Source organism: Homo sapiens, chromosome 10 (genome assembly GCF_000001405.40).
Source record: "Homo sapiens chromosome 10, GRCh38.p14 Primary Assembly".
Classification (NCBI taxonomy): Eukaryota; Metazoa; Chordata; class Mammalia; order Primates; family Hominidae; genus Homo; species Homo sapiens.
In genome coordinates this window covers 106,827,395-106,854,935 of record NC_000010.11, presented here as the reverse complement: position 1 = coordinate 106,854,935, position 27,541 = coordinate 106,827,395, and the positions used below count along the sequence as shown (strand labels likewise).

General features: G+C 39.0%; 1 protein-coding gene across 16 annotated transcripts in view, besides 1 other annotated feature; it reads left to right on the top strand.

The window, feature by feature from the left end:
- Positions 1-27,541, top strand: part of SORCS1 (sortilin related VPS10 domain containing receptor 1) — a 607,476-nt gene that overhangs the window by 326,203 nt on the left and 253,732 nt on the right. For all 16 annotated transcript variants that reach the window (XM_017015617.1, XM_047424547.1, XM_017015615.3 and 13 more), the window contains exon 3: positions 25,263-25,362. In XM_017015617.1, the coding sequence (XP_016871106.1) occupies positions 25,263-25,362 (100 nt within the window). The remainder of the gene's footprint in view (positions 1-25,262; positions 25,363-27,541) is intronic.
- Positions 4,017-4,603: an enhancer, noted in NCBI's record as "H3K27ac-H3K4me1 hESC enhancer chr10:108610091-108610677 (GRCh37/hg19 assembly coordinates)". NCBI's record gives its function as "activates a minimal SCP1, AML or CMV promoter by ChIP-STARR-seq in naive H9 embryonic stem cells {active_cell/tissue: H9 hESC(naive)}" and the evidence as "EXISTENCE:reporter gene assay evidence [ECO:0000049][PMID:30033119]".

Here is a 27,541-nt window from a genome sequence, read left to right as displayed (position 1 = left end):
CACAAAAACCTTTATTCTTCTGAGTAGTAATCTCACAGATACCACTTTCTTCAAGATAATAGCAACAATGTATTCAATTACGTATGCTCATGTATATATATACACACACACATACACACTTAGGTATGCTTATGTACAGGTGAAATGAATGACATCAATAATACAAGAATTGGGAAGGAGAATTAGGAATAAGTTGTTATGACAGAGTGCCTGCACTCCCCATGAAGTAGTGTGTTGTTATTAGAAGTGAACTTCATTAGTGGTAAATATGTATTGCAAACTCTACAGCAAGTACTAAAAAGAGTGAAAAAGAAGAGGAAAACAAATAGGCTAAGAAAGGAGAGAAAATAAATTCGTATAAAATGCTCAATTAAAATCACAAAAGACAGAAAACATGTGAAAGATAATAGGAACAAAGAATAAAGGAAACAAAAAGAAAATGGTAAAAATGTGATAGGCAATAATCCAACTATATTAATAATCACTTTAAATGTCAGTGGCCTAAATATACCAATTAAGACAGAGATTGATGGAGTGGATGAGAAAAACAAGCCCTAACTATATGTTGTCTACAAGAAACCCACTTCAAAGACAAAGATACATTCAAATTAAAAGTAAATGGATGGAGAATGATATACCATGCTAACACTAATTAGAAGGTCTTTGGAGTCATTATATTAATTTTACACAGGGCAGATTTCAGAGCAAAGAAAATTATCAGGGTAAAGAGGGGCATTACATAATGATAAAGGGGAGTCAATATGCCAAGAAGACATGAGTCCTTAATATGCACATGCCTAACATGAGTGTGTCCAAATACATGAGGCAAAAACTGATTAGAACTGCAAGTGTAAAGATGAAGTCATTATTATAATTGGAGACCTTAACATCGTCTTTCAAAAATGAACAGATCTAGTAGGCAAAAATTATAAGGACATATTTGAACTCAACAACACCATCAACCAACAGGGTAAAATTGATATCTCTAGACAATATCACCTAACACCAACAGATTACACATTCTTCTCAAGATCACATGGAAAATTTGCTAAGACAGACCACTTTCTGAACCATAAAACACACCTTAACAAACTGAAGCAAATAGAAATTATACAATGTCTGTTTTTCAACCACAATGAAATTAAACTGGAAATCAATAAAAGAAATAGCTGAAAATTTTCAAAATAAGCAGAGATTAAACAACATGCTTCTAAATATCACATCGATCAAAGAAAAAATCTCAAGAGAAACTATAATTTGAAGTAAAGGAAAATAAAATAAAATTAATTAAAGTTTGTAGGATGCAGTAAAAGCCATGCTTAGAGGGAAATTTACAATGTTGAAAGTGTATATTTAAAAAGAAAAAATATGAAATCAATAATTTAAACCCCCACCTCAGAAAATTAGGGAAAAATGAGCAAATTAAATTGATAATAAGCAGAAGAAAAGAAATAATAAAAAATTAGAGCATAAATCAACAAGACTGAAAATAGATAATCAACAAAACCAAAACCTGTTTTTTTGGAAAAAAAAAAAAATCAAGAAAATGGATAAGCCTCTAGCCAGGCTAAGAAAAAAGAGAGGGAGCACAAAATACTAATGTCAGAAATGAAAGAGGAGAGAGCACTACAGATCCTATGGATACTAAAGAGACAATAAAGGACTATTATGTACACTTTTCTACCCACAAATTTAATAACATAGGTGAAGTGGACCAATTTCTTGAAAGACACAATCTGCCAAAACTCACATAAGAAAATGTAGAAATCTGAATAGGCTTGTAACTATTAAAGAAATTGAATCAATAATTAATAATCTTCCAAACAGAAAGCACCAGGCACAGTCAGTTCACTGGTGAATTTTCCCATACATTTCAGAAATAAATTATGCCAATTTACTACAAACTCTTGCAGAATACAGAAGCAGAGGGAATACTTCTCAGCTCATTTCATGATGCTGGTATTATTCCAATATCAAAAACCACCCAATGACATTAGGAGAAAAAAGCAAACTTACAGACAATTATCTCTCATGAACAAAGATGCAAAACCCCTCAATCCAATAATGTTTGAAAAGAATTGTGCATCATGACCAAGTGGGGTTTATCCAAGATATGTAAAGCTGGTTTAATATTCAAAAATCAATTAATGTAATTATCACATCAACAGGCTAAATAAAATCACATAATATACCAATAGATGAGGGAAAATAACAAAACTTAATACCAATTCATGGTAAAAACTCTCAGCAACCTAAGGATAGCGGGAAATTTCTTTTTCTTTTCTTTCTTTTTTTTTTTTTTTTTTTTGAGACAGGGTCTCGCTCTGTCACCCAGGCTGGAGTGCAGTGGTGTGATTTCAGCTCACTACAAACTCCACCTCCCAGGTTCAAGTGATTCTCCTGCCTCAGCCTCTTGAGTAGCTGGGACTACAGGCGTGCAACACCATGCCCAGCTAATTTTTGTATTTTTAGTAGAGACAGGGTTTCACCATGTTGGCCAGGATGGTCTTGATCTCTTGACCTTGTGATGCGACTGCCTCAGCCTTCGAAAGTGCTGGGATTACAGGTGTGAGCCACCGCACCCAGCCGAGGAAACTTTCTTAAATTGACAAGAAACATCTACAAAATACCTTCAGCTAGCATCTTACTTAGTGGTGAGAAACTCGAAAGTTTTCCCACTAAGATCAGAACAAGGCAAGAATATCTCCTCACCACTGTTTTTTAGCTGGAAGTCCTAGCTAATACCATAAGACAAGAAAAGGTAATAAAAGTTATACAGATTGAAAAGGAAGAAATAAAACTATCTTTGTTGCAGAGACAGAAGCATCTATGTATAAAATCTTAGAGAATCAACAACAATGAAAAAACTAATAAGTAATTGTAGCAAGATTGTACAATATAAGGTTAATATACAAAAGTAATATACACTAGTAACAAACAAGCAGAATTTGAAATTAAAAACGCATTACCATTTACATTAGCATACCAAAAAAGAAAATAGACATAAATTTAACAACATACGCACACAAGATCTGTATGAGGAGAACTATGAAGCTCTGATAAAGGATGTTAAAAAACTAAGTAAATGAAAAGATATTCCATATCCATGGACAGAAAGACTCAATATTGCCAAGATGTCAGTTCTTCTCAACTTGATCTATAGATTCAACACAATCTCAATTAAAATGTAGCAAGTTATTTTGTGGATGTTGACAAATAATTCTAAAGTTTATATGGAGATGTAGGAGACCCAGAATAGTCAACTGAGTAGTAAGGGAAGGAAACAAAATTGGAGCACTCACTGCCTGACTTCAAGACTTACAATAAACTTGTAGTAATCAGGACAGTTTGTTATTGTGTGAAGGAACAGATACATAGATCAATGGAACAGAGTAGAGAGCCCAGACATAGAACAATATAAATATAGTCAGCTGATCTTTCACAAAAGACCAAAGCCCATGCAATGAGGAAAAGTCTTTTCAACAAATGGTGCTGAAACAACTGGACACCCACAGGCAAAAATAAATACAAATAAAAGGAAGTTTGAACACAGACCTTACAGCCCTCACAAAAATTAACTCAAAATGTATCATAGACCTAAATGTAAAATGCAGAACTATAAAACTCCTGAAGATAACTAGGAGAAAACCTAAATGACCTTGGATATGGTGATGACTTTTTACATACAAGACCAAAGTCACAATCTATGAAAAAAATGGGTAATCCAGACTTCATTAAATTTTAAAACTCTGAGAATGATAATACCAATAGAATGAGAAGACAAGCCACAGACTGGGAAAAAATTATAAAAGACCTATCTGATGAAGGCCTGTCATATACAATATACAAAGAAATTCAGTAGGTTTCAAGCTAGCTGGTGCAGGTGGCTAGGATTAAGGTAGTGGCAGTGGAGATATGGTAGAACACTGGGACCTGTTGTTGGATTGCATGTGAGAGATGAGGGACAGGAACAAAAATGACTCCAAGTTTCTGTGTTTTTTTGCAATTGGCTAGAAGATAGTGATGTTTTACTGATAGGTAGACTCCTAGGCCTAGAATAGGGCCGTAGGGCGTGTGTGTGGTGGGTGGCAGGGGAGATGAGGGCAGGGTGGAAATGACTCCTTTTTGGACTTGATAGATTTGAAATCTATTCCCATGAGGCATCCAAATGAAGGTGTCAAAAATGAGTTAGACATAGGTAATTGGAGCTCTGAGGAATATTGTGAGCTTGAGATACATACACATTTGTAAAGGAGACCTTACCAAATAGAGGCTCTTGGGTGTCTTGGGAATGCCTTTCTCTCTCCTAGAAAGGAAAGGCATCAGGGAGGAGCCAAGATGGCCGAATAGGAACAGCTCCGGTCTACAGCTCCCAGCGTGAGCAACGCAGAAGACGGGTGATTTCTGCATTTCCATCTGAGGTACCGGGTTCATCTCACTAGGGAGTGCCAGACAGTGGGCGCAGGCCAGTGAGTGCGCGCACCGTGTGCGAGCCGAAGCAGGGCGAGGCATTGCCTCACCTGGGAAGTGCAAGGGGTCAGGGAGTTCCCTTTCCGAGTCAAAGAAAGGGGTGACGGACGCACCTGGAAAATCGGGTCACTCCCACCCGAATATTGCGCTTTTCAGACCGGCTTAAAACACGGCGCACCACGAGACTATATCCCACACCTGGCTCGGAGGGTCCTCCACCCACGGAGTCTCGCTGATTGCTAGCACAGCAGTCTGAGATCAAACTGCAAGGCGGCAGCGAGGCTGGGGGAGGGGCGCCCGCCATTGCCCAGGCTTGCTTAGGTAAACAAAGCAGCCGGGAAGCTCGAACTGGGTGGAGCCCACCACAGCTCAAGGAGGCCTGCCTGCCTCTGTACACTCCACCTCTGGGGGCAGGGCACAGACAAACCAAAAGACAGCAGTAAACTCTGCAGACTTAAAAGTCTCTGTCTGACAGCTTTGAAGACAGCAGTGGTTCTTCCAGCACGCAGCTGGAGATCTGAGAACGGGCAGACTGCCTCCTCAAGTGGGTCCCTGACCCCTGACCCCCGAGCAGCCTAACTGGGAGGCACCCACCAGCAGGGGCACACTGACACCTCACAGGGCAGGGTATTCTAACAGACCTGCAGCTGAGGGTCCTGTCTGTTAGAAGGAAAACTAACAAACAGAAAGGACATCCACACCGAAAACCCATCTGTACATCACCATCATCAAAGACCAAAAGTAGATAAAACCACAAAGATGGGGAAAAAACAGAACAGAAAAACTGGAAACTCTAAAACGCAGAGCGCCTATCCTCCTCCAAAGGAACACAGTTCCTCACCAGCAACGGAACAAAGCTGGATGGAGAATGATTTTGACGAGCTGAGAGAGGAAGGCTTCAGACGATCAAATTACTCTGAGCTACGGGAGGACATTCAAACCAAAGGCAAAGAAGTTGAAAACTTTGAAAAAAATTTAGAAGAATGTATAACTAGAATAACCAATACAGAGAAGTGCTTAAAGGAGCTGATGGAGCTGAAAACCAAGGCTCAAGAACTACCTGAAGAATGCAGAAGCCTCAGGAGCCGATGCGATCAACTGGAAGAAAGGGTATCAGCAATGGAAGATGAAATGAATGAAGTGAAGCGAGAAGGGAAGTTTAGAGAAAAAAGAATAAAAAGAAATGAGCAAAGCCTCCAAGAAATATGGGACTATGTGAAAAGACCAAATCTACATCTGATTGGTGTACCTGAAAGTGATGCAGAGAATGGTACCAAGTTGGAAAACACTCTGCAGGATATTATCCAGGAGAACTTCCCCAATCTAGCAAGGCAGGCCAACGTTCAGATTCAGGAAATACAGAGAACGCCACAAAGATACTCCTCGAGAAGAGCAACTCCAAGACACATAATTGTCAGATTCACCAAAGTTGAAATGAAGGAAAAAATGTTAAGGGCAGTCAGAGAGAAAGGTCGGGTTACCCTCAAAGGGAAGCCCATCAGACTAACAGCGGATCTCTCGGCAGAAACCCTACAAGCCAGAAGAGAGTGGGGGCCAATATTCAACATACTTAAAGAAAAGAATTTTCAACCCAGAATTTCATATCCAGCCAAACTAAGCTTCATAAGTGAAGGAGAAATAAAATACTTTACAGACAAGCAAATGCTGAGAGATTTTGTCACCACCAGGCCTGCCCTAAAAGAGCTCCTGAAGGAAGCACTAAACATGGAAAGGAACAACTGGTACCAGCCGCTGCAAAATCATGCCAAAATGTAAAGACCATCGAGACTAGGAAGAAACTGCATCAACTAACGAGCAAAATCACCAGCTAACATCATAATGACAGGATCAAATTCACACATAACAATATTAACTTTAAATGTAAATGGACTAAATGCTCCAATTAAAAGACACAGACTGGCAAGTTGGATAAAGAGTCAAGACCCATCAGTGTGCTGTATTCAGGAAACCCATCTCACGTGCAGAGACACACATAGGCTCAAAATAAAAGGATGGAGGAAGATCTACCAAGCAAATGGAAAACAAAAAAAGGCAGGGCTTGCAATCCTAGTCTCTGATAAAACAGACTTTAAACCAACAAAGATCAAAAGAGACAAAGAAGGCCATTACATAATGGTAAAGGGATCAATTCAACAAGAGGAGCTAACTATCCTAAATATATATGCACCCAATACAGGAGCACCCAGATTCATAAAGCAAGTCCTGAGTGACCTACAAAGAGACTTAGACTCCCACACAATAATAATGGGAGACTTTAACACCCCACTGTCAACATTAGACAGATCAACGAGACAGAAAGTCAACAAGGATACCCAGGAATTGAACTCAGCTCTGCACCAAGCGGACCTAATAGACATCTACAGAACTCTCCACCCCAAATCAACAGAATATACATTTTTTTCAGCACCACACCACACCTATTCCAAAATTGACCACATAGTTGGAAGTAAAGCTCTCCTCAGCAAATGTAAAAGAACAGAAATTATAATAAACTATCTCTCAGACCACAGTGCAAGCAAACTAGAATTCAGGATTAAGAATCTCACTGAAAGCCACTCAACTACATGGAAACTGAACAACCTGCTCCTGAATGACTACTGGGTACATAACGAAATGAAGACAGAAGTAAAGATGTTCTTTGAAACCAACGAGAACAAAGACACAACATACCAGAATCTCTGGGATGCATTCAAAGCAGTGTGTAGAGGGAAATTTATAGCACTAAATGCCCACAAGAGAAAGCAGGAAAGATCCAAAATTGACACCCTAACATCACAATTAAAAGAACTAGAAAAGCAAGAGCAAACACATTCAAAAGCTAGCAGAAGGCAAGAAATAACTAAAATCAGAGCAGAACTGAAGGAAATAGAGACACAAAAAACCCTTCAAAAAATCAATGAATCCAGGAGCTGGTTTTTTGAAAGGATCAACAAAATTGATAGACCGCTAGCAAGACTAATAAAGAAAAAAAGAGAGAAGAATCAAATAGACACAATAAAAAATGATAAAGGGGATATCACCACCGATCCCACAGAAATACAAACTACCATCAGAGAATACTACAAACACCTCTACGCAAATAAACTAGAAAATCTAGAAGAAATGGATAAATTCCTCGACACATACACTCTCCCAAGACTAAACCAGGAAGAAGTTGAATCTCTGAATAGACCAATAACAGGAGCTGAAATTGTGGCAATAATCAATAGTTTACCAACCAAAAAGAGTCCAGGACCAGATGGATTCACAGCCAAATTCTACCAGAGGTACAAGGAGGAACTGGTACCATTCCTTCTGAAACTATTCCAATCAATAGAAAAAGAGGGAATCCTCCCTAACTCATTTTATGAGGCCAGCATCATTCTGATACCAAAGCCGGGCAGAGACACAACCAAAAAAGATAATTTTAGACCAATATCCTTGATGAACATTGATGCAAAAATCCTCAATAAAATACTGGCAAACCGAATCCAGCAGCACATCAAAAAGCTTATCCACCATGATCAAGTGGGCTTCATCCCTGGGATGCAAGGCTGGTTCAATATACGCAAATCAATAAATGTAATCCAGCATATAAACAGAGCCAAAGACAAAAACCACATGATTATCTCAATAGATGCAGAAAAAGCCTTTGACAAAATTCAACAACCCTTCATGCTAAAAACTCTCAATAAATTAGGTATTGATGGGACGTATTTCAAAATAATAAGAGCTATCTATGACAAACCCACAGCCAATATCATACTGAATGGGCAAAAACTGGAAGCATTCCCTTTGAAAACTGGCACAAGACAGGAATGCCCTCTCTCACCGCTCCTATTCAACATAGTGTTGGAAGTTCTGGCCAGGGCAATCAGGCAGGAGAAGGAAATAAAGGGTATTCAATTAGGAAAAGAGGAAGTCAAATTGTCCCTGTTTGCAGACGACATGATTGTTTATCTAGAAAACCCCATCGTCTCAGCCCAAAATCTCCTTAAGCTGATAAGCAACTTCAGCAAAGTCTCAGGATACAAAATCAATGTACAAAAATCACAAGCATTCCTATACACCAACAACAGACAAACAGAGAGCCAAATCATGAGTGAACTCCCATTCACAATTGCTTCAAAGAGAATAAAATACCTAGGAATCCAACTTACAAGGGATGTGAAGGACCTCTTCAAGGAGAACTACAAACCACTGCTCAAGGAAATAAAAGAGGATACAAACAAATGGAAGAACATTCCATGCTCATGGGTAGGAAGAATCAATATCGTGAAAATGGCCATACTGCCCAAGGTAATTTACAGATTCAATGCCATCCCCATCAAGCTACCAATGACTTTCTTCACAGAATTGGAAAAAACTACTTTAAAGTTCATATGGAACCAAAAAAGAGCCCGCATCGCCAAGTCAATCCTAAGCCAAAAGAACAAAGCTGGAGGCATCACACTACCTGACTGCAAACTATGCTACAAGGCTACAGTAACTAAAACAGCATGGTACTGGTACCAAAACAGAGATATAGATCAATGGAACAGAACAGAGCCCTCAGAAATAACGCCACATACCTACAACTATCTGATCTTTGACAAACCTGAGAAAAACAAGCAATGGGGAAAGGATTCCCTATTTAATAAATGGTGCTGGGAAAACTGGCTAGCCATATGTAGAAAGCTGAAACTGGATCCCTTCCTTACACCTTATACAAAAATCAATTCAAGATGGATTAAAGATTTAAATGTTAGACCTAAAACCATAAAAACCCTAGAAGAAAACCTAGGCATTACCATTCAGGACATAGGCGTGGGCAAGGACTTCATGTCCAAAACACCAAAAGCAATGGCAACCAAAGCCAAAATTGACAAATGGGATCTAATTAAACTAAAGAGCTTCTGCACAGCAAAAGAAACTACCATCAGAGTGAACAGGCAACCTACAACATGGGAGAAAATTTTCACAACCTACTCATCTGACAAAGGGCTAATATCCAGAATCTACAATGAACTCAAACAAATTTACAAGAAAAAAACAAACAACCCCATCAAAAAGTGGGCGAGGGACATGAACAGACACTTCTCAAAAGAAGACATTTATGCAGCCAAAAAACACATGAAAAAATGCTCATCATCACTGGCCATCAGAGAAATGCAAATCAAAACCACTATGAGATATCATCTCACACCAGTTAGAATGGCAATCATTAAAAAGTCAGGAAACAACAGGTGCTGGAGAGGATGTGGACAAATAGGAACACTTTTACACTGTTGGTGGGACTGTAAACTAGTTCAACCATTGTGGAAGTCAGTGTGGCGATTCCTCAGGGATCTAGAACTAGAAATACCATTTGACCCAGCCATCCCATTACTGGGTATATACCCAAAGGACTATAAATCATGCTGCTATAAAGACATATGCACACGTATGTTTATTGCGGCATTATTCACAATAGCAAAGACTTGGAACCAACCCAAATGTCCAACAATGATAGACTGGATTAAGAAAATGTGGCAAATATACACCATGGAATACTATGCAGCCATAAAAAATGATGAGTTCATGTCCTTTGTAGGGCCATGGATGAAATTGGAAACCATCATTCTCAGTAAACTATCGCAAGAACAAAAAACCAAACACCGCATATTCTCACTCATAGGTGGGAATTGAACAATGAGATCACATGGACACAGGAAGGGGAATATCACACTCTGGGGACTGTGGTGGGGAGGGGGGAGGGGGGAGGGATAGCATTGGGAGATATACCTAATGCTAGATGACGAGTTAGTGGGTGCAGCGCACCAGCATGGCACATGTATACATATGTAACTAACCTGCACAATGTGCACATGTACCCTAAAACTTAAAGTATAATTTAAAAAAAATAATAATTAAAAAAAAAAAGAAATTCAGTAAATGGTGTTGGAGAAACTGGACATTCACCTGCAAAAGAATGAAATTGTATCCTTATTTTATATCATACATGAAAATCAATTAAAAATTGAGTAAAAACTTAAACATAAGTCCTGAAACCATGAAACTCCTAGAAGAAAACATAGAAGAAAATCTCCTCAATATTGGTCTTAGAAATGATTTTATTTTAATTTGACACCAAAAGCACAGACACCAAAAGCAAAATGTGGGAATATATTAATCAAAAAAGTTTCTGCATAGCAAAGAAACAATCATCACAATATATAAGAAACTTATACAAGTAAATAGCAAAATTAAACAAAAAACCTGATTAAAAATGGGCAAAGAACACGAATAGGCATTTTTCCAAAGATGGCATATAAAAAGCCAATAGTATATGAAAAGATGTTCAACATCACTAATATCAGGGAAATGCAAGTTAAAACCACAATGAAATATCACCTTACAACTATTAGGATGTTTTTTATCAAAATATCAAAAGATAACAAGTGATGTGGAGCAAAGGGAACCCTTGTACACTTGTGGTGGGAGTGTAAATATGCAGCCACTATGGAAAACAATGTGGTGGCTCCTAAAAGTTTAAATATGCTCCATATAGATCCAGCAGTTTTATTCCTGGGTGCATATCCAAAGGAAATAAAATCACTATCTTGAGATAGCTGGTGCTTCTGTGTTCATTGCAACATTATTCACAATAGCCAAGATACGGAAACAACCTAAGTGTCTGAGAAATCAATGGATAAAGAAAATGTATTATATATACAGTAGAATATGATTCAACCTTAGAAAAAGGAAATCTTGTCTGGGTGCAGTGGCTCACGCCTGTAATCCCAGCACTTTGGGGGGCCAAGGTGGGCAGATCACGAGGTCAGGAGATGGAGACCATCCTGGCTAACACGGTGAAATCCCGTCTCTACTAAAAATACAAAAACAGAATAAGCTGGGCGTGGTGGCAGATGCCTGTAGTCCCAGCTACTTGGGAGGCTGAGGTGGGAGAATGGCGTGAACCTGGGGGGCGGAGCTTGCAGTGAGCCGAGATCGCGCCACTGCACTCTCCAGCCTGAGCAACAGAGCGAGACTCCATCACAAAAAAAAAAAAAAAAAAGGAAATCCTGCCTTTTACCGCAACATGAATTAACTTGGAAAACATTATGCTAAGTGAGATAAGCCAGACATAGGAAGACAAATGATGCATGATCTCACTTACATGTGGAATCTATAAAAGAGCCAGACTCATAGTAACAGAGAGTAGAGTGGTGGTTACTAGTGGCTGGGGGTTGGGAGAAAGTGGAAATATGAGTCAAAGCATAAAAACTTTTCACTATTGGATGAATAAGTTCAGGATACTTCATTTACAACATAGTAACTCTAGTTAATGCAAAGCATATTTGAAATATGCTCCTAGAGAACTCAAGTGTTCTCACTGCATAAACACACAGACAGTTAATGTTTGAGGTAATGGACATATAATTAAGTAGATTGTGGTAATTATTTCAAAATGTATACCTATATGAAAACATTATATTGTATACCTTAAATACAATTACATTTGTCAATCGTATCAGTAAATTGGGGAAATACATACACACACATGCACATAACTATTAAAACTCAACAGTAAGGGCCAGGCACAGTGGCTCATGCCTGTAATCTCAGCACTTTGGGAGGCTGAGGTGGGTGGATCACCTGAGATCAGGAGTTCAAGACCAGCCTGGCCTACATGGTGAAACCCCATCTCTACTAAAAATACAAAATTAGCCGGGCATGGTGACACATGCCTGCAATCCCAGCTACTCAGGAAGCAGAGGCAGAATTGCTTGAAACTGGGAGGCGGAGGTTGTAGTGAGCTGAGATCACGCCATTGCACTCCAGCCTGGGAAACAACAGCGAAACTCCATCTCAAAAACACAAAACAGAGAAAACTCAACATTAAGAAATTTATATTTAAAGCCATTTTTTAAAAATGACAAAGAGCCTGAACAGACATCTCATGAAAGAATAGGCCAGACACAATGGCTCACGCCTGTAATTCCAGCACTTTGGGAGGCTGAGGTGGGCAGATCACCTGAGGTCAGAAGTTCGAGACCAGCCTGGCCAACATGGCGAAACCCTGTCTCTACTAAAAATACAAAAATTAGCCGGGCCTGGTGGTGCACAAGGGTAGTCCCAGCTACTCGGGAGCCTGAGGCAGGAGAATCACTTGAACCTGGGAAATGGCGGTTGCAGTGAGCCAAGGTCATGCCATTGCACTCCACCTGGGTGACAAGGTGAGACTGTGTCTCAAAAAACAAAAATAAATAAAATAATAAAATAATAACATATACAGATGTCCAGTAAGCATATAAAATATGTTAAACCTCGTATGTCTTTAGGGAATTACAAATAAAAAAAATGATACGCTGCTATACACCTATTAAAATGGGCAAAATCTAAAACACTGAGAACACCAAATGCCCACAAGGATGTGAAACAACAGGAACTCTGATTCACTGCTGGTCAGAATGCAAAATGATACAGTCACTTTGGGAGACAGTTTGGCAATTTCTTACAAAACAAATATACTCAATATACAATCCAGCAATCACATACCTTGATATTTACCCAAAGGAGTTGAAAACATGTTTACACAAAATTCTGCACATGGATGTTTATAGAAGTTTTATTTATAATTGTCGAAACTTGGAAGCAACTGAGATTTACTGAGATCAGTAGGTGACTGGAAACTATGGTGCACCCAGACAAAGGGACATTATTCAACACTTAGAAAAAAAGCTATCAAGCCATGAAAAGGCATGCAGGAAGCTGAGATGTATATCACTAAGTGAAAGAAGCCAATCTGAACAGGCTAGATGCTGTATGATTTCAACTATAGGCATACCTCAGATACTGTGGATTTGATTCCAGACAACTGCAATAAACCAAATATCACAATAAAGCAAGTGAATGAATTTTTGCTTTCTCAGTGCATATAAAAGTTATGTTTATACTATACTACAGTCTATTAAGTGTGTAATAGCATTATGTCTAGAAAAACAATGTGTGTGTGTGTGTGTGTGTATTTTATTGAAATGGAGTCTCACTCTGTCGCCCAGGCTGGAGTGCAGTGCTGTGATCTTGGCTCATTTCAACCTCCACCTCCTGAGTTCAAGCAATTCTCCCACCTCAGCCTCCCGAGTAGCTGGGATTACAGGCGCATGCCACCACACCAGGCTAGTTTTTGTATTTTTAGTAAAGATGGGGTTTCACCATGTTGCCCAGGCTGGTCTCAAACTCCTGACCTCAAGTGATCTGCCCTCCTCAGCCTTCCAAAGTGCTGGCATTACAGGCGTGAGCCACTGCACCTGGCCACCAATGTACATATTTTAATCAAAAATATTTTATGGCTGGGCAGGGTGGCTCATGCCTGTAATCCCAACACTTTTGGAGGCCGAGGCAGGCGGATCATGAGGTCAGGAGATCTAGACCATCTTGGCCAACATGGTGAAACCCCGTCTCTATTAAAATGCAAAAAATTAGCGGGGTATGGTGGCGTGCACCTGTAGTCCCAGCTACTCGGGAGGCTGAGGTAGGGGAATCACTTGAACCTGGGAGGTGGAGGTTGCAGTGAGCCAAGATCATGCCATTGCACTCCAGCCTGGCGACAGAGCAAGACTCCATCCAAAAAAAAAAAATATATATATATATATATATATAATATAACTAAAAAATGTGAATTATTATCTGAGCCTTCAGTGAATTATAATCTTTTTGCTGGTGGAGGGTCTTGCCTTGATATTTGCTGAAGATTAAGGTGGCTCTGGCAATTTCTTAAAATAAAATAACAATAAAGTTTCCTACATGAATTGACTCTTCCTTTCATGAAAAATTTCTCTGTAGCATGCAATACTGTTTTGATATCATTTTACACATGGTAGGGCTTCTTTGAAAATTGGAGTTCATTCTCTCACATCCTGCCATTACTTTATCTACTAAGTTTATTTAATATTCTAAATTCTTTGCTGTCATTTCAACAATGTTTACACCACATTCACCGGAATATATTCCATTTCAGGAAACCACATTCTTTGCTTATCCATAAGAAGCAACTCCTCATTGGTTCAAGTGTGATCATGAGATTACAGCAATTCACTCACATCTTCAAGCTCCACTTCTAATTCTTTTGTTATGGTCACCACATGTACAGTTACTTTCTCCACTTAAGTCTCAAACCCCTCAAAGTCATCCATGAGTATTGGAATTAAGTTCTTCCAACTTCCTATGAATGTTGGTATTTTCATCTCCTCCCATGAATTATGAATGTTCTTAATGGCTTCTAGAATGGTGAATCCCTTCCAAAAGGTTTTCAATTTATTTTGCCCCCAGATCTTTCAGAGGAATCACTATCTATGGAAGCTGTAGCCTTACAAAGTGTATTTCTTAAATAATACTACTTAAAAATTAAAATTACTCCTTGATCCATGGAGTACAGAATAGATGTTGTGTTAGCAGGCATGAAAACAACATCCATTTCCTTGTACATCTCCATCAGAGTTCATGGATGACTAGGTACATTATCAGTGAGCAGTAATATTTTGAAAGGAATCTTTTTATCTGAGCAATAGGTCTCAATAATGGGCTTAAAATATCCAATAAGCCATGCTGTAAACAGATGTGCTATCATTCAGACTTCATTGCTGCATGTATAGAGCACAAGGAGAATAGATTTAGGATAATTCTTATGGACTCCAGGATTTTCAGAAAGATAAAAGAGCATTGACTTCAACTGAAAGTCACCAATTGCATTAGCCCCCAACAAGAAAGTCAGCTTGTCCCTCAAAGCTCTGAAGCCAGCATTGGCTACTTCTCTCTAGCTTTGAAATTCTAATGGAATCGTCTTTTGATTGGATGTTGTTTCCTCTACATTGAACATCTGCTGTTTACTGTAGCCACCTTCATCAATGATCTTAGCTAGATTTTCTGTATAACCTGATGCAGTGTCTGTATCAGCACTTGCTGCTTCACTTTGCACTTACCCGTTATAGAGAAGGCTTTTTTCCTCATGAACCAAATTCTGCTAGCTTGAAACTTTTCTTCCACAGCGTCTTCACCTCTTGGCCTTCATAGAGTTGAGGAAAATTACGGCCTTGCTCTGGGTTATGTTTTGGCTTAAGGAAATGTTGTAGCTGGTTTGATCTTCTAGCCAGACCACTAAAACTTTCTCCATATCAGCAATAAACCTGTTTGACTTTCTTATTCTTGTGTGCAGTGGAGTAACACTTTTAATTTTCTTCAACAACTTTTTCTTTGCAGTCACAGCTTGACTGTTTGACACAAGAGGCCCAGCTTTTGCCCTGTCTTGCCTTTTGACATGCCTTCCTCACCAAGTTTAATCATTTGTAGCTTTTTATTTAATGCAGCTCCCCCTTTCACTTGAACACTTAGAAGACATTGTAGAGTTATTCATTGGCCTAATTTCAATATCATTTATCTCAGGCAAGAGGGAGGCCTGAGGGGTGGGAGGAAAGAAAAGGAGGGAGAAAGGGATAGGGAATAGCTGGTTGTTGGAGCAGTCAAAACATACATAATATTTATTGATTAAATTTGCCATCTTACATGGGCATGGTTCAGGGCACCCCAAAATGATTATAATAGAAACATCAAAGATCACTGATCACGGATCTCCATAACAGATACGATAATAATGGAAAAGTTTGAAATATTGCAAGAACGACCAAAATGTGGCACAGAGACATGAAGTGAGCACATGCTGTTGGAAAAATGGCACCAATAGACTTGCTCCCTGCAGGATGCCACAAAATTCCAATTTGTAAAAAATGTAATGTTTGCAAAGTAAAATAAAGTGCAATAAAACAAGGTATGCCTATATATGACATTCTAGAAAGGGCAAAACTATGGAGAGGGTAAATGGATCAGTGGTTAGTATGGGTTAGGGGAATAGGAAGAATCAATAGGAAGAGGACCAAGCATTTTTGACCGAGTGAAACTATTCTCTATGATGTCAAGTGGTGGATACATGTCATTATGCATTTGTCAGAACCCATGGAATGTATAACACCAAGAATGTACCCTAATGTAAACTGTGGACTTTGGGTAATCATTATCCTTCGTTATAGGTTCTTTGATTGTAACAAATGTAACACTCTGAAGGAGGATATTGATAATGGGGAAAGCTATGCATGTGTAGGGATGGGCTATATGAGAACTACTTATTTTCCACTCTGTTTTGCTGTGGACCTGAAACTGCTCTAAAAATCAAGGTTATTAATTTAAAAAAAGTAGAGGGCATAGAACCGAGTCACCACCCTAGTGTCCCTTCTTTCCACACGGCTGATTTTATCTTCTAACAGCAGGGGCTATTGTAGCCAAAAGTCCTTGCCAAACCATATGAGCTTCTCAATTTTTATTTCATGGAAGTCCACTGGGTAACACAAGAAAAGCAAGCCTCCATCAGGCTAGCAAGTAGTCAAAAGCAAATAGTGCCTACTGTGCCCAGGGCGCTGTTCTGAGTGCTAGGAAGACATCTGTGAACAAAACAGACATCAGCCCTGTTCCCATGGAGAAAGACACAATAAAAATAAGTAAAAATCTATCAGATGGGGATAAATATTGTGAACAGAAAATAAAAGCACCTAGGAAGGGCAGAGTGTGCTGAGGGGTGGGTGAGGGAGGCTGTCACTTCATACAACATGAGCATTGTTCAGAAAGCAATAAGACAGTTGTCTATTAGGTATCTGGAAAAAAACCTTTCCAAGTGAAGGGACAAGACTGGAATGTGAGTGGAGTTGGGAGGAGGCAGAGAAAAGAGAGGGATTGGGTATCAGGCAGCTCACAATTATATTGCAATCCTATTAGGTGACAATTGGAATGCAAATTATACATGAAATTCTGTGGAGTACTGAGAGATTTATTTGTTGTAGAAACCAGGGCACTGACCGCCTACTAGATAGTGATGTTATTGGGGGTCTCAGTTACCCCAAAGGGGGCTTTTTCCTGTTTGGTGTTGCAAAAGCCAATACACAAAACTGAAAGTGAGTGTCAAGCAGTACTGTCTTTATTCAATCATCATGGAATTGGAGAAGTGGGAACATAGCTCATAAATTAATTTCCCAGCTCCTGAGAACCAGGCAGTTACAAATACAGGGTATCTTTAACATAGGGGGTTGGGTTGAAGAGCAAGGGGAGGAATATTTATGCTTTTCTTTTGAAGGGAGTGAGACTTTCCTGGAATCAAGGAGCTGCCTCTTTTCTATTTTTTCTTGGTCTGCTCCAGTCATTGTCATGGTGACTGTCAACTGTCATGATACTGGTGGGAGTGTCATTCAGCATGGAAATTGGATTATAATGAAGCTAGAAGTTCTTCAGAGGTTGAGTAAGCTGCAGTTTTGGATTTTGCTAACTTCAGCTGGTTTATTTCTAAGAAGGAACTCCTGACCACAGACATCCTGTTTGCTAAAAATAAGCAGAGTTAAAGCTGAATAGGAATCTAGTTTTGACGTATTGGCATTGCACTGGGCAACATAAGTGGGCTAGGAGTCCAACTAATACATGTAGGCACTGCAGTGGGTAACAGTGAGTGACTAATTCCAGTTGTGTTTTGCTTCAAGAACTTGCTTTTTCTATTAGACTGAGATATCTTGCTAATCTTAATGAGGCATCATCAAGTCATTAACTGGTTGAGCCCAATCACTTTGTCCATATTTTCAGCCTTCACAGGAGTCAGGCTGGATCAGATAAAGGATATACCTTCTTTTCCTCATAGATCCTTGTGAGAGTTTCTGCTTATACTTTTTTTTTTTTTATTTAATCAATTTTCCCTGGCAGGTCTGCCTTTTAATAGGTATAAAGAAAAGCCAGGCTTTGGTCTACACCATATACAACCTCAAAGAGTTTTAGTTAATGTTTCTTTTACCAAAAAATGCTCAACTAGGTTTTCTGAATACATCTCCTTAACTGCAGATTTCTCCCGGTGGCTTTTGACAGAGGCATGGCAGTATGGAGTTAAGGATGCTGGCCAGTGCGCACTCAGCACCTCCCAAGATCTTTTTTTTTTTTTTTTTTTTGAGACCGAGTCTCGCTCTATCGCCCAGGCTGGAGTGCAGTGGCGCAATCTCGGCTCACTGCAAAGCTCCGCCTCCTGGGTTCACGCCATTCTCCTGCCTCAGCCTCCCGAGTAGCTGGGACTACAGGCGCCCACCACCATGCCCGGCTAATTTTTTGTATTTTTAGTAGAGACGGGGTTTCACCGTGTTAGCCAGGATGATCTCGATCTCCTGACCTCGTGATCTGCCCGCCTCGGCCTCCCAAAGTTCTGGGATTACAGGCGTGAGCCACTGCGCCCGGCGCACCTCCCAAGTTCTGTAGTCTTAAGCAGGCTAGTTACACTTTTTAGTCTTCCTTATTTGTAACATGTGATATTAATATCAGTGTCCATCTCATAGGATTCTACATGTGAAGAGCTCAGATAACATTGTATGTACTCAAAGAGCATTCGTTGTTATGATGTTGTCTGTTAGGATTTTTTTTTTTTTTTAGACGCAGTCTCGCTCCTGTTGCCCAGGCTAGAGTGCAATGGCGCGATCTCAGCTGACTGCAACCTCCGCCTTCCGAGTTCAAGCGATTCTCCTGCCTCAGCCTCCTGAGTAGCTGGGATTACAGGCATGAGCCACCACATCCGGCTGATTTTGTATTTTTAGTAGAGATGGGGCTTCTATATGTTGGTCAGGTTGGTCTCAAACTCCCGACCTCAGTTGATCCACCCACCTCGGCCTCCCAAAGTTCTGGGATTACAGACATGAGCCATCACACCCGGCTTCTGTTAGGATTTTTAAGCATAATGGTCTATTCAGAAATGGAATTGTGACATAATTATTATAGAAGCAGAGTGTGGAATCTTTATTGCTTATATTCCAGTTCTTACCATTAACTCTGTGATCCAAGTACCACCTAAAACTACTAGCACATATCCTTCAAGATATGATAGACTAAATTATGCTACATTTTTAAAATGTTGTAATTGCTTTATGAATATCTTTTCTTCTAAGCAACCTAACTCAAAATTATTTTCAGTGGTTGGGGTTTTCATTGAGGGTTCACGTTGTAGGTTTTAGTAAGTATTGAGCAAAGAACACCAAAAACAATCAAGAAAAAAATGTTAGAAAATGAGTAACAAAAGCTATCATTTATAGTTTGCTTCTGTGCCAATCATTGTGCTTATGGGTTAATTTAGATTACAATGATTCTGTGTTTATTTAGCATCCCATTTGATGGCATAAGATTATAGTGAAGGAAATCCAGTCACACACTGCATTTCTGCAACTCTTATGGAAACTAGCTGTATCCTATACTGATCCTTTTTTCAAGCGTGATAGGAGATTTTGCCACCTCAAAAAGATAATAACCTCTTGGAAGGCGGGTGGGATGCCTCAGATGGTGGTTTCTGAACTCCACAGAGCGACTTATTTCAGCTCTGTGTATACAGTAAATACTTAAATAGAGACATACTTTCAAATGTTCTAAAAGCTACTAAGATATATTTGTAAAAACGTAGTGTAAGGATTAAAGATCAAAAGCAGAAGAAAGTAAGCCTTGATTTAATCACTTGCAGATTTATTTTCATGGAATGCTTATTTTGTTAAGCTTTTAGCTTCTTCTGGCACAGTATAGGTGTTGACAGAAGCTCTCTTTTTCATTTATAGATAAGTCAACCTGTAAACAAAGCCTGAAAATAAAAATGCTTGCTTTGAAATGATTTTTTAAAAATGGTACAAGTGAAGAATTCAAGGCTGCATATGTCGCATCTTAATTATGACTATTTAAGATACACATTTTAAGATCCTTTCCTTTTTTTGTTTTTTGTTTTTCTATTACAACAGTAGTCACTTTATGGTTAGTCCAGGCTGGCATTTCTGTTTGCAATTTTCATTTAAGATAATTTTATAGTTCCTCTTTCTTACGAAATTAAGATCCATACCTTTCTTTTTTTTTCTTTGTCTTTGATCTTATGCTTCCCCAAGTGTGTTGCTCAGAACACTAATCTCATTAGATATCCCTCAAGAATGGATCCTATCATCAAATATGTTTGGAAAATGTCGCATGAAATATGCTTTTAAGAGGTTCAATGTATATTAGAATAATATAGTTTGTGAAAAGTTATGAAGTAAAGGAACATTAAATGTTGCCTAATCACATATTTCTCAATATTTTTTGTTCTTGGAAAATGTCCTCTCCCATACCTAGGGATGATAGTTAAAATATTTAACCAGCATATCGGCTCACAAGCCAGTCTGCTGCCTAACCTCTTTGTTGGGCAAAAAGCATCCTCTGCTCTTTTAGAGCTCATGTCCATAGGAGACTACAGCTCCCATAAATGTGCGACTAGAACTGGAAGCATCTCTTAGCTGTGAATCAGGACTTACAGAGGGGCACTAGAAATTGCCTTCCATGACCGGGCGTGGTGGCTCATGCCTGTAATCCCAGTACTTTGGGAGGCCGAGGTGGGTGAATCACAAGGTCAGGAGATCGAGACCATCCTGGCTAACACGGTGAAACCCCATCTCTACTAAAAATACAAAACATTAGCTGGGCATGGTGGCGGGCGCCTGTAGTCCCAGCTACTCGGGATGCTGAGGCAGGAGAATGGCGTGAACCCAGGAGGCGGAGCTTGCAGTGAGCCGAGATTGCGCCACTGCACTCCAGCCTGGGTGACAGAGCGAGACTCCGTCTCAAAATAATAATAATAATAATAATAATAACAAAAGAAAGAAATTGCCTTCCATGATGCAGTGCCAACCCAAGGTCACTGTGTCCCCCACTGGGGAGCAGCCTGATTGGCAAAGGCATCGACAGATCAGCACAGGTGTGTTGGTCTTGGTGCTGGAGCAAGTTTTTTGAGGATCTCTGCTGTGCCAGGCCTCAATCTTTTGATTGCTAGACTGTGAGGAAACTTGAGAGGCCCCTGAGTGAGAGACCATAGGTGATAAGCCTCGCAGGAACAACTACTCAGAGAACTTGGTGCAGTAACTATTTATCAACTGGTTTGAAAGTATTTACTATTTTTACTTCTGTACCACCATACCAATGTACGCCGGCTGATTGTTGGTTCTACCGATGAAACTTGTCAACACTCTATCTAATTCCAGTTCTTTGGGACACGCTTGGACAACCGCTGATCTGTACCACTTGGATGTGTGAAAATGCATCATTTTCTCTCTATCAATTGCTTATTACAAAGCCATGATGTTTAAATAGGCAATTCTGCTCTAGTGGAGAATTATCAAAATTTGGGTTAACTTTTGAGCTTTGTAAAATCAAGAAACAAGTGATGGCACCAAAAAATAATGATAGATACCTTGAGGGATCTGGATTGGTGGATGAATTATGTTACAATAAGATAAAAATGTCCAATAATATAGTGTAAGCTTTCTGAAAAAAATGTTGCTAATGTAAATCTGACTAAGTCACTCTATTGTCATCTTGTCACATTGGGATTAGAGTTTAATACTCACCCACTCACCCACCCACACAAACACACACACACATGCAAATAAGGATGATTGTATGTAGCATCCTTATAATATAATCCTCATTTGCCTTTCTATGGCTTGTTTTTTAAATGTGAAAATCTTCATCGAGTAGCTCAGGGATCAAGTTAATAGAAATTATAAGAAACTCTTCACACTCTCTATAGACTAGTTCCTACTTTTTTAGTCTCTTTTTTCATTATTCCACTAGGAAAATTGAACCATTTTCTTGTCTCTCATGTAGTCTTACCGATTTCCACCTATCATCAGGCTAAATTTATTAATATAGCAGTATTTACATGTTTCATTCTTCTCCCACCATCCCCGCCCCCAGGTAGATTTTGCATCTGGTTTTTTTGTTCTGGAACTTGTGAGTATTGTTCAGAATAATGAATAGAAAAAACTGTACAATAAAAGGAGATAGAATAAGGCTAGCAAGATGCGGGAGACACACAAGAAAGAGAATGTTGACTCAGGAGGTTAAGATAAGAATGGAAAAAAAGACAAAACACCAAGAGTGGACTAGGGGCCGGGTGCCTTGGCTCACACCTGTAATCCCAGAACTTCGAGAGTTTGAGGCGGGTGGATCACCTAAGGTCAGGAGTTCAAGGCCAGCCTGACCAACATGGTGAAACCCCATTTCTACTAAAAATACAAAAATTAGCTGGATGTGGTGATGTGTGCCTGTAATCCCAGCTACTCGGGAGGCTGAGGCAGGAGAATCGATCGAACCCAGAAGGCGGAAGTTGCGGTGAGCAGAGATCACCCAACTGCACTCCAGCCTGGGTGACAGAGTGAGACTCCGTCTCAAAAAAGAAAAAAAAAAAAAAAAAAGCGAAAACAAAGTGGACTGGGCTAGGAAAGAATTCTTCGATATTTCTTAGAGAATACCAGGGAATTCCCTCAAACAAGCTATGAATTTTGGAGAAAAAGATAGATTTGGAAGGAAGATGTTAAGAAGTTTTGTTGTGATTCATTAATAAGATATCCTGTGAAATAGCTCTGGAATGCTCCTCAAATATTCTTGACTATCAAGCTAATGTGTGTTTGATTATAGTAGTGCAGAGACTGGTCCTGAAATAAGCCAGGTATATATTTTTGTTACAAAGGTAACATCTAGTCTGTGATGCTCTTTCTAATTTTGTTTTCTAAACTTACCCATTTTCAAGGTTCATAGTTCTTTCAAGAAGTTTTGCGTAGTACTTTGTTCCTCAGCGATTAGGAATGGCATCTAAATCCTCTGAAGTGTTGACCGTTTTCTGTTTGCCATCTATGTATAAATTTTAGGAAGAAATATCTTGAATTTCCAGCCAGAATAAATCCTTAATTCCTAGCTCCAGGATCACTTTTATGCAGCTTTCTTGCTCCAGTGTTTGGTCCACTGTGTATACTGAATGGATGGTAGTGAGGTTGTTAACATGCAATTCTGCTTAGTCGTTATGGCCTATAGGAATTTGTAACTTTTACCAGTTTCAGAAATTAATTAAGATGATTACAATTTTTGTGTTTTTCGAATTAAATCAACTTTAATTTCTAAGCATTGTTAACTCATATCTCTATCTTTGCACTTAACATATTCTAAATATTTGTTTATATTTCTTTCTTTCAAATAAAATTGTGACATACTTGAGAGTAGAGGCTGTGTGCTATGTCCTTACACTTAGCAACACTGTCTGGTAAGTCTTAGGAGTGCTACAAATGTGAATGAATGAATGAATGAATTTTACAAACAATCTCCTAAGAAAAGAAAGCTGAGAGGAAATTTTATATCATTTTATGTCTATGTCCTTTTTATTTATTTATTTATTTTTTTTGAGATGGAGTCTTGCTCTGGACAAGACTCCGCCCAGGCTGGAGTGCAGTGGCACGATCTTGGCTCACTGCAACCTCCACCTCCCGGGTTTAATCAGTTCTCCTGCCTTGGCCTCCCGAGTAGCTGGGATTATAGACGACTGCCACCATGCTTGGCTAATTTTTGTATTTTTAGTAGAGACAGGGTTTCACTATGTTGGCCAGGCTGGTCTCAAACTCCTGACCTCGTGACCTGCCTGCCTCAGCCTCCCAAAGTGCTGAGATTACAGGTGTGAGCCAGTGTGCCTGGCCTTTTTTTGTTTTGTTTTGAAACAGAGTCTTGCTCTGTGGTCCAGGCTGGAGTGCAGTGGTGTGATCTCGGCTCACTACAGTCTCTGCCTCCTGGTTTCAAGTGATTCTTGTGCCTCAGCCTCCCAAGTAGCTCGGACTACAGGCATGTGCCATCAGGCCAGGCTAATTTTTGCATTTTTGATAGAGAAGGAGTGTCGCAACGTTGGCCAGGCTTGTCTCGAATTCCTGACCTCAAGTGATTCACCCGTCTTGGTTTCCTAAAGTGCTGGTATTACAGGCGTGAGCCACTGTGCCCAGCCCTATATTCTTTAAATTTTTTTAAAAAAAAAAAAAAGGAAAAAAAAAAAAAGCTGAGGTATAATGAAAGCAACATGGGGCCTAGGCGAAAATACCTGAATTCAATTTCTAGCTGTCCATTTATCAGGAAATTTTTTAAATTTCTTTGAATAAGTCACTGAAGTTCAGCCATTTTCATCAAAGACAGATAATAATCCCTATTGTACATAGTTGTCATGATGATATAATAAGATTAAAATTCTGAAATAGAGTAGACCTTCATAGAGAAGGTAATTAAAAGCAATTTATTTAATCCGAGTGAATAATTTATTGACCAATGGCTAAAGCTGAGAGGCTCTATAGGAAAAAACAGTGTCAGTGTCGAGAAGTCATGTCCTCCTGACTCAGGATTGCTTAACACTGGAAAAGGCTATGGAGTATGAAATTCATGAAATCTCACTGATTATTGAGACATTTTCTTGCTCTTAAATAATAAGAAAAGACTGACTGACCTTTGAAGGGACTGACCCACCATATATTCCCTGACTCATGAAAGAAAACACAATTTGTTGATAAATCAGGAGAACCTGCTTTTCTACTGGGCCAAACATAAAGTAAAAGTTTGGAAATGTCATATCTGACTAAAAACTCTTTAATTCTTTGGTCAAATCAAGGGACACCCTCATCTCTTAATCTTTTTAAATTAACCACATTCTTTATGCAATGTGCGTACATTAAGGAGCAGTAGAGAGATGGAGTTTTAATTTTTACCAATTCAATCTAAATGCAAATTTTAACCACTCACATGATGCTACTGTGTACATAATTAAGCATCATTATATACTACATGAATCATTGAGAAACCTCCTGAGAGCCATTCTACTGTGTAAAGCATGCATTATACTGACAAGCAGCCAAATGACATATACTTCTGTCCTCATTAATGCTCTTTTTGGATTATAGGTCAACCGATTATGGAACAACCTATGAGAAGCTGAATGATAAAGTTGGTTTGAAAACCATTTTGAGCTATCTCTATGTGTGTCCTACCAACAAGCGTAAGGTAAGAAATGTATATTCAGCATGCTACTCATTCATGATGTGACTTCTGTCTTGGTTGGCTAACCACTCTAGCTACCTAAAAATCCATTACAGTTAATCTGGGATTAGAAATGTAAAGATGGGTTGATGGATGTTAAGATTGTAAAATGTCTGACACATCATAATTTTCAGATCAGCAGCTGTGAATGTAAGAGGGTGAGGGATAGGTAGATCATTACCATTTCCAAAAGGCAGCTACAAAGAATGAGTCTTGTTGGGTGGATGCTGCTGACTCTCTAGTAAGAGTTCTGACCAGTCAATCAGAAGAGTCAGAATGAGTCTTGACAAGACAGCAGAAAAGATGGATTTTCATCTGATGTCCCAGTTTTTCCTTGACATGGAACAAATAGATTAACTAGAATTTAAGTGAATGCATTGTCCTGCAGCAGATAGGAAGTTTCATTTTTAAAGTTTGTTCAGTCTGCACACAAATGTCAGGATGAATGCAGTGCATTTAGCAGAATAGAGTAGCTTGGAAAGAGTGATAAGATTAGTCCCTTCTGAGCATGGATCTTAGCTTCAAGAAGCCTTGGAGATCATCATCTACAACACCGTTATTTTACAGATAAGAAAACTGAGATTCAGAGGAAAGAAATAGTTTGTGCCCATTGCAGAGTTATGGCCATAATTAGGACTAGAGTTAAGGCGTCTTGGTTAGCAGTCATACTTTTTCCACTATGTCATACATCTCCTATTATGAGAGCTTATCTACTCCTCAGGTATGTCATTTTTTAGGAAGAAAATATTGTTTTTAAATGAGGAAGACATTTATTTGTCCCTGAAGGGGAGTGGTACTACATCTATACCTTTATTTTCATAAACTTGCATTATCAAATTCCAAATTCTGACATACGATTGTTAAGTAGTACATAGGTTACATGAACTAATAGTATTAATCAGGAAATAGAAACGTGTCATTCATTAACATACCCTAAACCATAATGTGTTATGAAGGTAGCACTGATGTCTATGTTCTCATCTCAGATTTTTCATTAGCTACTGTTAGTGACCTTGGGTAGGGTCTGCATTTTGCCATCTGGAATATGGAAGGTGATGAAAATATCTCTTAAGCAATCACTCTCAATTCTGGCTGCTTGTCAAAAGTGGTCCCCAAACGTGCAAGCTCTAGCCCCACCACTGTTGCTCTGGATTAGGGCTCAGGTAACTATATCTTACTAAAGCTCCCCAGATGCTTCTGATAGGTATCTAGGATTAAGAACCACTAATATAAAGTGTAATGTTCATTCTGGCTGTAAGCATTTCAAGTTCTTCAGTAGAAACAGCATAACTTTTCAGTTGAGCATAGACTCTGGAGTAAGAAGAAGAGAGAAAACCCAGCTAAACCTATTACCAAGTATATAAGCATGGTGATTTACTTAATCTCTCCAAGCACAGTGGGATTCGGTTTAAAAGGGGGACAGTTACAGTACCTACCTACCTCGTGTGGGAAGTTGTAAGGATTATATGAAATTAGGCATTTCAGGTGCTTAGCACAGAATAGTAAAAGCTTAATTAATGTTTTCTCTTCATTCTTTTTTCTTGCTGAAGTGTCCAGCAGAACTTGATGATAGAAATTTTCTTCTAAGCTCTTCTGTACTTTAGACATTAACAATTTATGGCTTTTGAATGTTTGAAATATGGCTAGTGTTACTGAGTAATTGGATTTTAAATTTCATTTAATTTTAATTAATTTAAATTGATATAGCTGTGGGTGGCTGATGGCCACAGTACCACACAACCAATACTGTCAACCTCACAAATTTAGAACTACACCCAAACATTCCTATCTTCCCTTAATTGGCTGGCTACTTCATCAACAATTACACCTAAACAATTTTGATCTGCTGTATGCAGTCCCAAATTAAGGAACTGAACTTATATCTTTTATTTTTATGATGAAATTTAGTTGTTTGTTGGCTTTGTATCGATTTTTACAATCTCTCTTAATTTTTCTTCTAGTTCACATTTTTAGCAAATTTAATTTAACAGTCAACAAACTGTATGCTAGGCAATGTGCTATGCACTGTAGGATGTAAAGAGAAATAAGCCAGCAACTCATCCTCAGAGGTCCTATATTCTAGTACTAAATGTGGCATGACGTTTTGTAATTGAAAGATCCCTGAACTAAGATTCAGAAATCT